The sequence below is a fragment of the Homo sapiens genome, chromosome 17 (assembly GCF_000001405.40).
Source record: "Homo sapiens chromosome 17, GRCh38.p14 Primary Assembly".
NCBI classification, from domain to species: domain Eukaryota; kingdom Metazoa; phylum Chordata; class Mammalia; order Primates; family Hominidae; genus Homo; species Homo sapiens.
The window spans coordinates 15,050,488-15,064,456 of NC_000017.11; the positions used below are offsets into that span (position 1 = coordinate 15,050,488).

Here is a 13,969-nt window from a genome sequence, read left to right on the forward strand (position 1 = left end):
GGATCACTGAGTCTTTCTAACTCAAATTTAAAGCATTATGTGTGAGTGTAGTTGGGATGTAGGGTAAAGTGAGCTAATGATTGAAATAACCCAGCCTGTTCCTTTTACCAAATTTGGGGCAAGAGTAAAGTGGAGACTCCTAGACCTTGCCTTCTGTGGCAAGGAGGACTCTTTCCACCTCCACTCCTGTGAGCCACCTTGGTCACCTCTTGTGCTTTGGGGTGGTAACACTTATAAAACAGCATATCTTTGTGAGGGACGTCCAAGAGAGAGACTCTAGCAGGCCCTAGAAGCAGGCTTGAGGCTGTCTTGACAGAAAATTTCCCAATGTCAGGTACCTGGAGCTGAGTGGGGTGGGGATGAGGGGAGGCTGCTGTAGGTGGACATGAACCTTTGGCCTTGGGGGTTCCTCAGTCCATGAGGATTGTGGCAGGAGGAGAAAGAGTGAGCCTGTTAAATCTCCAGTTACAGGGCAAGACCCTGGGTGCCCAAATCTAAGGGTGATGCTATAAATAACATTACAAATGAGGTTATATATGTTCATTCATTTATTCTTCAAATATATTTTGACTTTCTACAATGTCTTATGAAGTATGCTGGGTACCAAGAATATGCAGGTGGCTAATTATGCAAGATGATGTGAATGCTTTTTAAATAAAATTTCCAGAACTTATACAACCAAATGAATGCAGTTTCTACTGCTTCAATTATTGTGGAACTATTACTCTCTTTAGAAATTTTGCTTCAAAATCTCAAATACATACAAGAAGACTATGTATAGGTATATAATGTATGTGTGTATACATGTGTGTGCATGTGTGTGTATAATATTCAGAGATTTTAAGGGTCCCCCCTTTCTCTTTACAGATGAAGAAATCAAAGTTCAGGAATGGTAAATGTTCTGATCAAGGTTGTTCTGCTGGAGTGGTGGTTGATCTCAAGCTTCCCGCAAGCCTGTTGACTACAGCATTGATCAGTTCGCCTAAGTTTCCTGACTGTAAATATCATGGCTGATTCTAATATCATGCACAAAGCCTGTCATTCAGAGAGATGGTGCTACAAATTGTTTTACAGTTTTAGTTGTGTTCAAATCAACCAAGTATAAATCAGAATGTCATCAAGGCTATGAGCTCCACCTTTCTAAATCTGGGTATTCCACTTCCGAGAAGGGTTTTGTGCCTGAGAGGTTGATATCTGCAACTGTCTCAAGGCTCTAACTTTTCATAAACACTATTGCAAACTAGTTTAGGTTGTACAAGAGAAGACTTTCTTTTAAAAATCAAAAGTATAGGTTTTGATTCATCTTTGCAAGATGGGAGAAAAAAGCAGAAATAAAGTCTAGCCTCCCAGATGACCTCAATATTGGAAATGACCCATGCAAGCACTTTCACTGAGAAGTGAATAAAACTAGGATAAATTGCTGCCAGATTTAGTGTACAACAGGTCTGATTTTGTTGCTTCACAACTTTTTTTCTCATCAAACAGTAGAGTGGACTTCGACATGGAGAAGATCCTGTCAAAACTTCACTCACACTCCCTAATTCAGAGGGGTGAGGGCAGGTAGTGGGGCAAAGAGCCATGATACACAAAGTGCAGGCCACTGCCCCCCACTTCAACCTGACCTAATCCATCATGGGAGTTCACATTGCCTCAGCCAAAATAAATAGAGAGACGCCCTTCTGCACAACGGAGACTTGTCTAGCTGTGACTGCCTACTCGTCACCTCTCAACATCCACTCAAACCCCCAAGCTACTGAATGCCTAATATAAATGCATAGCAAAATGTAAATTTTCTGTTTTTCTCTCATCTGGGACTACAGAATTTGGGCAGGAACACCCCTTCCCACACACCAATTTTTGACAGAACATATTATCATCCTTATTGCTTAAGAAAGGAAAGAACTCCCTCTACAAGAATGGGACCAAAGAAGAAAAATTTAAAGACTTAGAAAAGATATCACATCGGATGAAACTGGAAACCATCATTCTCAGCAAACTATCGCAAGGACAAAAAACCAAACATCACATGTTCTCACTCGTAGGTGGGAACTGAACAATGAGAACACTTGGACACAGGAAGGGGGGCATCACACACTGGGGCCTGTTGTGGGGTGGGGGGAGGGGGGAGGGATAGCATTAGGAGATATACCTAATGTAAATGATGAGTTAATGGGTGCAGCACACCAACATGGCACATGTATACATATGTAACAAACCTGCACGTTGTGCACATGTACCCTAGAACTTAAAGTATAATAAAATATATATATTTTTTAAAAATATAAAAAATAAAATAAAATAAAAAATTTAAGAAAAATAAAAAAACTGTGAGGCTCCTGCACAGTCAAAAAAAAAAAAAAAGATACCGCATTCAAAAAACGGTACCTCACTGAAAATTTGACGCAAATCCTTCTCTGTTAAATAAATTTGCTACAAGAAAGAGCAGAAGGTTTTAGAAAACTGCTAATCTGTGGGCTTAATTTTCAAGTGCCTATTAAATTTATCAATCCTCATTAAGCATTCCTGAGGAGAAAATCATCTCCAAGCAAGAGAGATGGGCATTAAAAAGATTACTGGATTAAAAATCACTATGTTCACTACAAACAGAAGATTAGATTCTGTAGAAAATTGAATTAAATAGATGACAAATCCCAGACATTTATCCAATACTCATAGGAAAAAAATGGAATAGGTAAAAGTGATGAGGGAAAAGGTGAGAAAGGTGGAGGAGTCAGATCTACAAGATCCTACTAGGAATATTAGGACAGACTGAGAAAATTGATAGAAAATAAAATGAGTACTAATGTAGCCACTTAGACATAGCCTCCAAGTTATACTGATTCTATCACTTCCTCCCATTTCTGATGCCACATCTTCTTCATACTTCTAATTTTTTATTTGTTTCATTTGTCTATTGGCTGCAGTACTTTTTCTAGTAAATGCCTAGAATGTGTCCAATAGTATCCCCATCTCACCAGAAACTTCTGTAATGTGCATTTATCTCATCTCCTGGGCTACTGCTGTGTGTCAGGAGCCATACCAAGAGTTGGAACTATAGCCTCAGCCTGGGCCTCCATTTCAAGATGTGACATTGAGTCCCCAGTTTTAATTCCCTCCTCTCCTCCATCCTAAACTCCCACTGATATCTCCAAAAAAACATGAAAACAGGAAAATGTGAATGACAGTGTATTGGAAAAAAAAGATATATGTCATCAAGGGATCCCAGAACTTTGGGGAACTGAGGTGGGAGGATCACTTGAGCCATAGGAGTTTAAGACCAGCCTGGGCAACATAGTGAGACCCTATCTCTGCAAAAGATAAAAAATTAAAATTAGTCAGGTGTGGTGGCACGCACCTGTAATCCCAGCTACTCAAGAGACTGAGGTGGAAGGATTACTTGTGCCTATGAGTCTAAGGCTGCAGTGAGCCATGATCATGCCACTATACTCTAACCTGGGTGACAAAGCAGGATATATATGTGGAGACCATCTGTAAGTTACAAGTAAACATAGGATCAAACTCAGACAGGTACACAAATGTCAGTACATCACAGGAAATACCCATCTGGAGAACAAGCAGACAGCAGTAGCACTCCATCACATGGATAACCAAAACAAAGGAGGGACTGCAACAGCTAAGAGTGAATAACTCACACTAAATGAATCGTTCCAAAGAATAAGGGCCAATGTTCCTTCTATACTTTACTCACTCAAAGAAACAGAAGTGTACTACATACAGAAAAAGGAAACCACCTAAGATCAGAAAAGACTGCCGATTAACAAATTTAAAAACAATGCCAATGGTCATCAGCACATCAGATACAACACAAAACACTGATTAATGGATTACATTGTGGCGAACCCACCATGTTTGACACTAACAGTAAGTCATGTTTTAAGCAGTCCCATAATATAACAAATTATTTTTATTAGTACTCATGAGACAAAACAATGAGCCAGGCACGGTGGCTCACACCTGTAATCCCAGCACTTTGGGAGATTGAAACAGGCAGATCATTTGAGGTCGGGAGTTTGAAACCAGCATGGCCAACATGGTGAAACCCCGTCTCTACTAAAAATACAAAAATTAGCTGGTTGTGGTGGTGGGCGCCTGTAATCCCAGCTACTCGGGAGGCTTAGGCAGGAGAATCACTGGAACCCAGGAGGCAGAAGTCGAAGTGAGCCAAGATTGCACCATTGCACTCCAGCCTGGGTGACAGAGCAAGACTCCGTCTTCAAAAAAAAAAAGAAATAAAACAATGATAATAACTAGAAAATAAATCATAAATCACAATGAAATTATTCTTTTATTTTATATCATATAATCCCAGTAAAAATACATTAAAAATAAATATTATAGTACAAGAAAGGGAAAATGAATTACACATTTTTTAATTACATTAATGCATTTTTAAAGGGGGATAAAACACATGTTTAACAATTCTTATATTGCTATTATGTAAACCGGAATTGAACAATTAAATAAATGGATAGTGGGGCAGTGGGAATCGGGTTTCTTGCTGTTGGAGTGGGGGTTACTAATAAACAAGGGGAGGAGGCTTGAATTATTCAGTAGAGTGGGAGACGTCAGTGTGAACTCATGTTTAGATTTATTTAGATACAGATCATTGCAGACAGAAACAGAAACACTTATATATGTGTGTATATATATATAGGTTATGCATATTCATATTTCCTCATTCTGTAAGGTAAGAGAGCCTAGAAGCAGTGACATCCCTGCAGCAATGAACACACCTAGTGCCCAGATCTTGGTTTCTAATACCATTTTCTAATAAACAAAACCAGTGCTTTTGGGAGAAATTGCTGATTCTAGAACTCAGGCATAAAATATACAAAATGAGCCCAGAGTATATGGTAGTGCGAGAAAGTGAGGACATTCTCCAAAGAAAAATAAATGATGGATGTCAAAGGGATATAGGAGTCCACTGGAAAACAGCTTCCAATGGTCAAAGCTGGAATAATTTGAGCAACAAAATAAATAAAGTAGTATAATATTATAACTCAAAGTATAAAATAAATGTTCATGAGTCAACGCCAATACAAATAAACAAATAAATAAATTACTTGGAAAGAATAGACAAATCTCCCATACATAAGAATTCCAAGTAATTCAGGGAGATAGGGTGGAGCATAACTCCCCACTCCTTAAATAGGGACTGTGTATAGCGTCTTCCTTCCAAAGAGTGCAGTATGGAAGAGGAGAAAAAGAGTAAATTTACCATAGATGAACTTGGCAGAAACGACCTCAGCCACATGATCAAAGTCAACATCAATAGTGATAAGTAAGGTTGAGGGTATCAACAATGATGAGTGAGGCTGGATACGATGTGATGAAAATGGCACTTTACCTCCGTAATTTTTCTCCTCAAAACACATAAACCCAGTTAATCATGAGAAAAGCATCAGAAATATCCCAATTGGAAAACATTCTACAAAATACCTGATCAGTAACCCTTAAAACAATCAGGACTGTCAAAAACAAGAGAAGGCTGAGAAACTGGAACAGCTAAGAGCCTAAGGAAACATGATAACTAAATTTGTTTTGTTGTTTTGTTTTGTTTTGTTTTTTGAGATGGAGTTTCACTCTTGTTGCCCAGGCTGGAGTGCAATGGCACGATCTCAGCTCACCACAACCTCCGCCTCCCAGGTTCAAGCGATTATCCTGCCTCAGCCTCCTGAGTAGCTGGGATTACAGGCATGCACCACCTTGCCTAGCTAATTTTGTATTTTTAGTAGAAACGGGGTTTCTCCATGTTGGTCAGGCTGGCCTCGAACTCCCGACCTCCCTCGGGTGATCCGCCCACCTCAGCCTCCCAAAGTGCTGGGATTACAGGTGTGAGCCACCGCACCTGGCCACGATAACTAAATATTATGTGGCCTCCTGGACGGGATCCTGGAACAGGAAAAGGACATTAGGGAAAAACAGGAAATCTGAATAAAGTATGTGCTTTATTTAATAACAATGTACCAATATTGGTTCATTAATTGTAACAAATAGAACATATGAATAAAAAATGTTAATAATAAAGCATATCGGGTGTGGAGTATGTGGCAACTCTTTGTAGTGTCTTCATAGGTTTAAGTAAAACTAAACTATTTTAAAATTAAAACTGTGTTAAAACACATGAAGAGATAATTTTTAAAAAGACCGCATTTTGCAAGCCTTAAAAAATGACTTGCACATAAAATGACAGAATATAAATAACTCAAGTTCAGTTTCTTCCTCTTCACAATCATTATGCTGCTATTGTTTATTTCTAATATAATGTTTAAATTCAGGAAGAGCCAGTACTATTAAAAGCTGGAGAGACAAAGAAAACACAAATAATTCTGAAAGTCACTACCTAGCTCTCCAAACAAATGTGTATACGGTTTTGCGTATATGTGAAGCTTATACAGTTATGCACTTAATGATGGGGATATGTTTTGAGAAATGTTGTCATGAGGCAGTTTCATCATTGTGTGAACATTATACGGTGTACTTAAACAAACCTAGACGGTAGAGCCTCTTACACACCTAGACTATACAGTGTAGCCTATTGCTCCTAAATTACAAACCTGAACAGCATGTGACCTGAATACTGTAGGCACTTATAACACAACAATAAGCATTTGTGCAACTAAATACAGCTAAACATAGAAAAGACACAGTAAAAAATGTGATATACCAAAGAAATATAAATCATTCTACTATAAAGACTCATGCACACATATGTTTATTGCAGCACTATTTCCAATAGCAAAGACATGGAACCAACAAAAATGCCCATCAATGATAGACTGGATAAAGAAAATGTGGTACATATACACCATGGAATACTATGCACCCACAAAAAGGAATCAGATCATGTCTTTTTTATTTATTTATTTATTTATTTTTTGAGACAGAGTCTCACTCTGTCACCCAGGCTGGAGTGCAGTGGCGCGATCTCGGCTCACTGCAAGCTCCACCTCCCAGGTTCACGCCATTCTCCTGCCTCAGCCTCCCCAGCAGCTGGGACTACAGGCGCACACCACCACGCCTAGCTAATTTTTGTATTTTTTAGTAGAGACGGGGTTTCACCGTGTTAGCCAGGATGGTCTCGATCTCCTGACCTTGTGATCCACCCAAGTCGGCCTCCCAAAGTGCTGGGATTACAGGCGTGAGCCACCGTGCCCAGCCGAGATCATGTCTTTTTCAGGAACATGAATGAAGCTGGAAGCCATCATCCTCAGCAAACTAACATAGGAACAGAATACCAAACACCACGTGTTCTCACTCATTGGGAGTTGAACAGTGAGAACACATGGACACAGGGAGGGGAACAACACATACCGGGGCTGGTCAGGGGGTGACAGACGAGAGGAGGGAGAGCATTAGGACAAATAACTAATGCATGCAGGGCTTAAAACCTAGAATACGGGTTGATAGGTGCAGCAAACCACCATGGCACATGTATACCTATGTAGCAAACCTATACGTTCTGCACTTGTATCCCAGAACTTCAAGTAAAATTTAAAAATATACTGAAAAATTATGGCTTCTGTTCTTATCATAATTTCTTACCAGACAGCAGACTATTTCAAGAAAAAAATAATAACATCGTAAAGTTTGTAACATATGTAGTTGTAAAAATGTGGCAAAAGGTGGTGAGTAGGTAAGTAGAATTATACTGTGCTAGAGTACTGTATTTGTGAAGTAGAAAATAAGAAGTAGAAAGTGTTAAGTTTGAATGAGAGGTGGGAAGTGGGAAAGGAAACTGCAAAGTTTCAGATGTGAAGTGAAAATTAGAAGTATGAAGGGTCACTATGAAATGTGAAATAGTGCCATATTGACTGTAAAAAGACTGATACTTTAATTATACCAATTTTTAGATCTAAAAAAAAACTACATTTTTTGAAGGCATATTTAAGAAGACAATGCAAAAACTAAAATAGAAGAGTAAAAAAAATTTTAAATAACCCCAAAGAAGACAAGAAAAAAGCAACAGAATACCAAAATCAGGAAGGATAAGTGGGGAGAAAAGCAAAATAGCATACTTAACAGCTAATAGCAATGTTACTGTAATAAGTTAAAGATATATATTGCAAACCTTATTGTAAACACCAAAAAAAGAAGTATAGCTAATAAACCAACAGTAAAAAAAATACTCAATCCAAAAGAAAGCAGAAAAAAATAATTAAAAAAAGAAAATACCAATAAGCAAAATAATAGAAAACAAAGAGTGAGGAGATAATTTTTTTTATTCACCTGAGTAGTCCAGGTGAACTTTCATTTATTTAGATTTTAATTTTTTCAAATTCCAACCAGAAGCTAAATACAATTGGGAATTGGTTAGCACTATTTTTGCTCCAAAGGAGTAGGATCATTTAGATTTACTCCAATAAAAGCAAAGCTTTTCTTCATTTAAAAGAAAAAAAAACCTCTATATGGTAGTCTTTCCTGATGTTAATTGCATAAAATAGGAAGGTAAATGTAAATCCAAACCAATAATTTAACATTTCAATTAACATTTAACATTCTCTATAAGGGTAGGGGGAAAAAGACAATACCCAACTATATATAAAATAGTATATGTCATATAACTATATTAAAATATTATGTAATATTAGTTACATATGACACATGAGTAGAAAATGGAGTAACTACAACACTAGAGAAAATAGACATCAGAACAAAGATTATCACCATGGGTAAAAGAGACATTTCATAATGATAAATCAATCAATTCATCAAAGAGATACAACAACCCTAAATTAGCATACATTCAATGACAGCTTTAAAATGCATTTGAAAACTTTAATAACTGAAAAGAAAATAAATTCATAATTTCTGTTGGAGATTTAACATTCTTCATTTAATAGCCAGGTAAGAACAAATAGATCAAAAATCAGTAAGGATATAGGATACTTGAATAAAAAGATTAACCGGTGAATCAGATAGAATTGGCATTTGTAGAACACTCCACCCAATAACTGCAGAATACATATTTGTTTCAAGTACACATGAAATATTCACTAAGATAAGCCATTTTTTGGCCATAAAATGAATCTCAACAGAATTAAAAGTATTTAAATAATATAGTATATTCTCTGATCACGACAAAATTAACTTAGATATTAATAACTGAAAACGTATCTAGAAAATCCACAAATAGGCCGGGCGCGGTGGCTCACGCCTGTAATCCCAGCACTTTGGGAGGCCGAGGCGGGTGGATCATGAGGTCAGGAGATCGAGACCATCCTGGCTAACAAGATGAAACCCCGTCTCTACTAAAAATACAAAAAATTAGCCGGGCGCGGTGGCGGGCGCCTGTAGTCCCAGCTACTCGGGAGGCTGAGGCAGGAGAATGGCGTGAACCCGGGAGGCGGAGCTTGCAGTGAGCCGAGATTGCGCCACTGCAGTCCGCAGTCCGGCCTGGGCGACAGAGCGAGACTCCGTCTCAAAAAAAAAAAAAATAAAAAGAAAATCCACAAATATTCAGAAATTATACAACACACATATAAATAATCCACCTATTTTAAAAGATATTAAAAATAAAATTAGAAAAATTATTGAACTGAATGAAAATAAAAACATAGCATATCAAAATTTGTAGGAAACAGGTAAAGAAGAGATGAGAGGGAAACTTATGTCTTTAATTGTGTATGTTAGTAAAATAGAAACCTCTAAAATCAATATCCTAAACCTCTCCTTTAAAAGCCACAAAAGATAAATTTAAATTTAGTAGGAAGAAGAAAATAATAAAGATGAGGGTAGATATCAGTATAATACAAAATTTTATGAAGAGGAAATCAAAATTGGTTTTTTGAAGAAATCAATGGAATTGATAAATTTCTATCAGGATTAATAAAGAAACAAAGAGATACAACATGAATTTTCAATACCAGGAATTAAAGAAAGAACATGACTACAAACTTTACAAACATTAAAAGAATAATAAGAAAGTATTTTTTAAAACTTCACAACAATATAGTCAACAACCTAGATGAAATGGTCAAATTTATTGAAAGACAAAAATTATCAAAACTAACTCAAGGAGAAACAAAATGTCTGAATATTCTGATATTTACTAAAGGAATTAAATTCATAATTAAAATCTTTCTATACACACAAAAAAAGTCCAAGCCTGGTTGTCTTCACTGGTGAATTCTACCGAACACTTGAGGAAAAAACAAGATCAGTCTTAACACCAACTCTTTCAGAAAATAGAGGAGGAGGGAATACATCATAACTCATTTCACAAGGCCAGTTTTATCCTGATACCAAAACCAGATGAAGATAATACAAGGCAGGACGGGTGCAGTGGCCCATGCCTGTAATCCCAACACTTTGGAAGGTCAAGGCAGGCAGATCACTTGAGCCCAGGAGTTTAAAACCAGCATGGGCAACATAGCAAAACCCTGTCTCCAGAAAATATACAAAAATTAGCCAGGTGTGCAGGGCGCGGTGGCTCATGCCTGTAATCCCAGCAGTTTGGGAGGCCGAGGCGGTTGGATCACGAAGTCAGGAGATCGAGACCATCCTGGCTAGCATGGTGAAACCCCGACTCTACTAAAAATACAAAAAAATTAGCCGGGCATGGTGGCGGGCACCTGTAGTCCCAGCTGCTGGGGAGGCTGAGGCAGGAGAATGGCGTGAACCCGGGAGGCAGAGCTTGCAGTGAGCCGAGATAGCGCCACTGCAGTCCGGCCTGGGTGAAAGAGCGAGACTCCATCTCAAAAAAAAAAAAAAAAAATTAGCCAGGTGTGGTGGCACACACCTGTGGTCCCAGCTATTCAGGAGGCAGAGGTGGGAGTATCACCTGAGCCTGGGAAGGTTGAGGCTGTAGTGAGCAATGATGGGGCTACTGCACTCCAGTCTGGACAACAGAGTGAGAACCTCTCTCAAAAAAAAAAAGATATTACAAGGTAAAATTAGATACCAATATACTTCATTAACATAGATTTTTTAAATCCTCAACAAAATATCAACAAAATTAATACAACAATATATAAACAAGATAATAGACCATGCCCAAGTGGGATTTTTATCCAAGAATTGTATGTTGGTTTAACATTTAAACATCAGTCAGATTTGAAACAACCCAAATTATTTTCAATGGGTGAATGGATAAATAAATTTAATGCATCCATACAATGGAATATTACTCAGCTATGAAAAGAACAAACTATTGATGCAGGCAACAATGTATATGGGTCTTAAGAAAATTATGCTGAGTGAAAAAAATCTCAAAAAGTCACATACTGTATGATTTCATTTATACAATATTATTGAAGCAACAAAATCACAGTGATGGAGAATAGACTAGTGGTTTCCAAGGGTTAGAGTTCAGAGAAGGTATAACTATTAGGCAGTAACACAAGAGAGTTTCTTTGTGGTGATAAAACAGTTATGTATCCTGATGGTAGTGATGGTTACAACAAGTCTATATATGCGATAAATTTCGTAGACCTACACACACACACACACACACACACAAACACACACACACAGAAAAAGAGAGAGAGAGATGGTCGAATTCAAATTCTATAGTTGAATTAGTGTTATTGTACCAAAGTCAATTTTTTTATTTTAACACTGCACTCTGGATATTATCATGAAGGAAATCTGGGTGAAGTGCACACAGGAACTCTTTTCTATTATTTTCTTGTGTCTTAAAGTATTCCAAAATAAAAAGCATTAAAAAGAGCAAATACAACGCTATTAAAAGTAGCTTTACAAAAGAAACCAGTTATAATAAAATGCAGCCATCAAAATATTAAAAATCAAATTTGTGATATAGTAAGAAAACATGATCATTGTATTTCAACATATTAACAGAATAAAGGAATAAAAATTGATTATCTCAGTAGATGCAGATAAAGTAAATGACAGAATTCAATTATAAACAGAAATTCCAGCAAACTAGAAATAGAAATTTCCTCAAAATGGTAAAGAACGTCTATGCAAAATCTGTAGCTAACATTGTATTTTATGACAAAAGAAACTGAACGGTATCTCTAGAGATTAGCAACAAGGCAATTTGAACACTCTCTTCACTATATTAAGGCAAGGTATTCGCCTCTGTTAAACAATCTACTGGAGGCCTATGCTGGTGCAAAAAGGCTTTAAAAATATACAGATCAGAAATGAAGAAGTAATATTATTTTTTTCTCAAAAGACATGATTGTCTGCATATGAAGTCTATTGAAATCTACAAAAAACACGCTACTATAACTGTTAAGTTCCAAGGACACAAGTTCAATGCACAACAAAATCTATTATATTTCTATATATTAGCTCAGACTACGAGAAGCTGAAATATACAAAATTACTACTTACAAAAGTATCAATAAACATACAAATACTTAGGGATAAATTTCATGAAATTCTACAACACCTACATTTTTGAAAACTTTAAAATATTGCTGAGAGAAATCTAAAATCATTTAAATAAATGTAGAGATACAGTATACCATGTTCATGGATGAGAAGATTCAATTGTTAAGATGTCCATTTTTCTCAAATTTTTCTATATATTCAACATAATCCCAGTCAATATGCCAGCAGTATTTTCTAAAGAAATGGGTAAGATGATTGTAAAATTTATACAGAATTTCAAAAGACCAAGAATAGTCAAAATAATTTTAAATATTGAGAACAAAGTTGAAGTATAGAAAATCAATAAGGGTATAAAAGACTTGAATATGACTATCAACCAACTTGATGTAATTGATTTTTATAGAATAATCCAGTCAATAACAACAGAATATACTTTCTTTTCAAGTAAACAGAACATTTAGGAAGGCAGACCATATCCTAGGCTAGCCAACAAGTCTCAATCAATCTGCAGTGATTTGACTCATGAAGTATTCTCTGACTACAATAGAATTAAATTAAAAATAAATAATAGGAAGATAACCGGAAAATCTCAAAATATATGAAAACAAAATAGCACACTTCTATATAATTCATGTGTCAAATAAGATACCAAAAAGAAAAGTATAATGTTTTTGAAACTTTTGCGAAACTGAGATACTTATTCCTATTTTACAGGTGAAAAAACCAGTTCTGAGACCTTAAGTGTTCTGTTCAAAGCCACATGACTAGAGTTTGCCAGAGCTGGAATTCATATTCAAGCTGTGGTGGTTCCCAAGCCCAACATGCTATCCTATATAACTAGTCACTAATATATAATTGCTCCTAGAACCCAGGATATATCAGAACTTAATTGGTAGTAGTAACAGCTAACAATTATTAGGCAATTAATACAATAAGGCATTTCTTGCATAGTACCTTATCATATAGCACTTTGCCTGTATTGATTCATTTATTACTCAGTACAACTCTATGAGGATGGTACTATATCTATTGTCATCTTATAAATGAGGGGACTGAGGTGCAGAGAAGATAAGTAACTTGCCTAGACAGTTAGTTAAGGTAGAACCGTGACTTAAACCCAAGCAGTCTGGTTCCAGAGTTTGCATCCTTAACCAGGATACTGTATTGCCTTCAGATTGTATGTGTATGTGGTGAGAAGGAGGAAGAGTGAGAGACAAATTGTGTTTTTAATGAAACTAGTGTCACATTACATTTGTCAAAATAAATTTATAATTTATGTGTCAAAATAAAGATTATATGTAAATTTAAAATATTAGAGACATGAATAAAAATATCAATTTAAAGTGTCAAATATATGTGACTATCTGACAGAAGAAAAGAGGTCTATTCATAAATATTATTAAAAAATCAATATCCAGTCCTTCAGTATTCATGAGGGATGCATTACAGTACACCCACAGATAACAAAATCCACAGATTCTCAAGTCTCTGATATAAAACAATGTCATATTTGCAAATAACCTACGTACAACCCCTTATATACTTTAAATCATCTCTAGATTACTTATAATACCTAATTATAGTATTAATGAATGCTGTGTAAATAGCTGCCATGATGAATTGTTTAGGCGATAATGACAAGAAA

At 36.3% G+C, this 13,969-nt stretch overlaps 1 long non-coding RNA gene across 1 annotated transcript in view; it reads left to right on the forward strand.

Annotated features, from left to right (window-relative positions):
* Positions 1 to 1,789, forward strand: part of LOC101928475 (uncharacterized) — a 37,472-nt gene extending 35,683 nt beyond the window's left edge. Inside the window, exon 2 of the long non-coding RNA NR_135638.1 lies at positions 868 to 1,789. This is a non-coding gene — a long non-coding RNA (uncharacterized LOC101928475). The remainder of the gene's footprint in view (positions 1 to 867) is intronic.
* Positions 1,790 to 13,969: the final 12,180 nt, after the last annotated feature.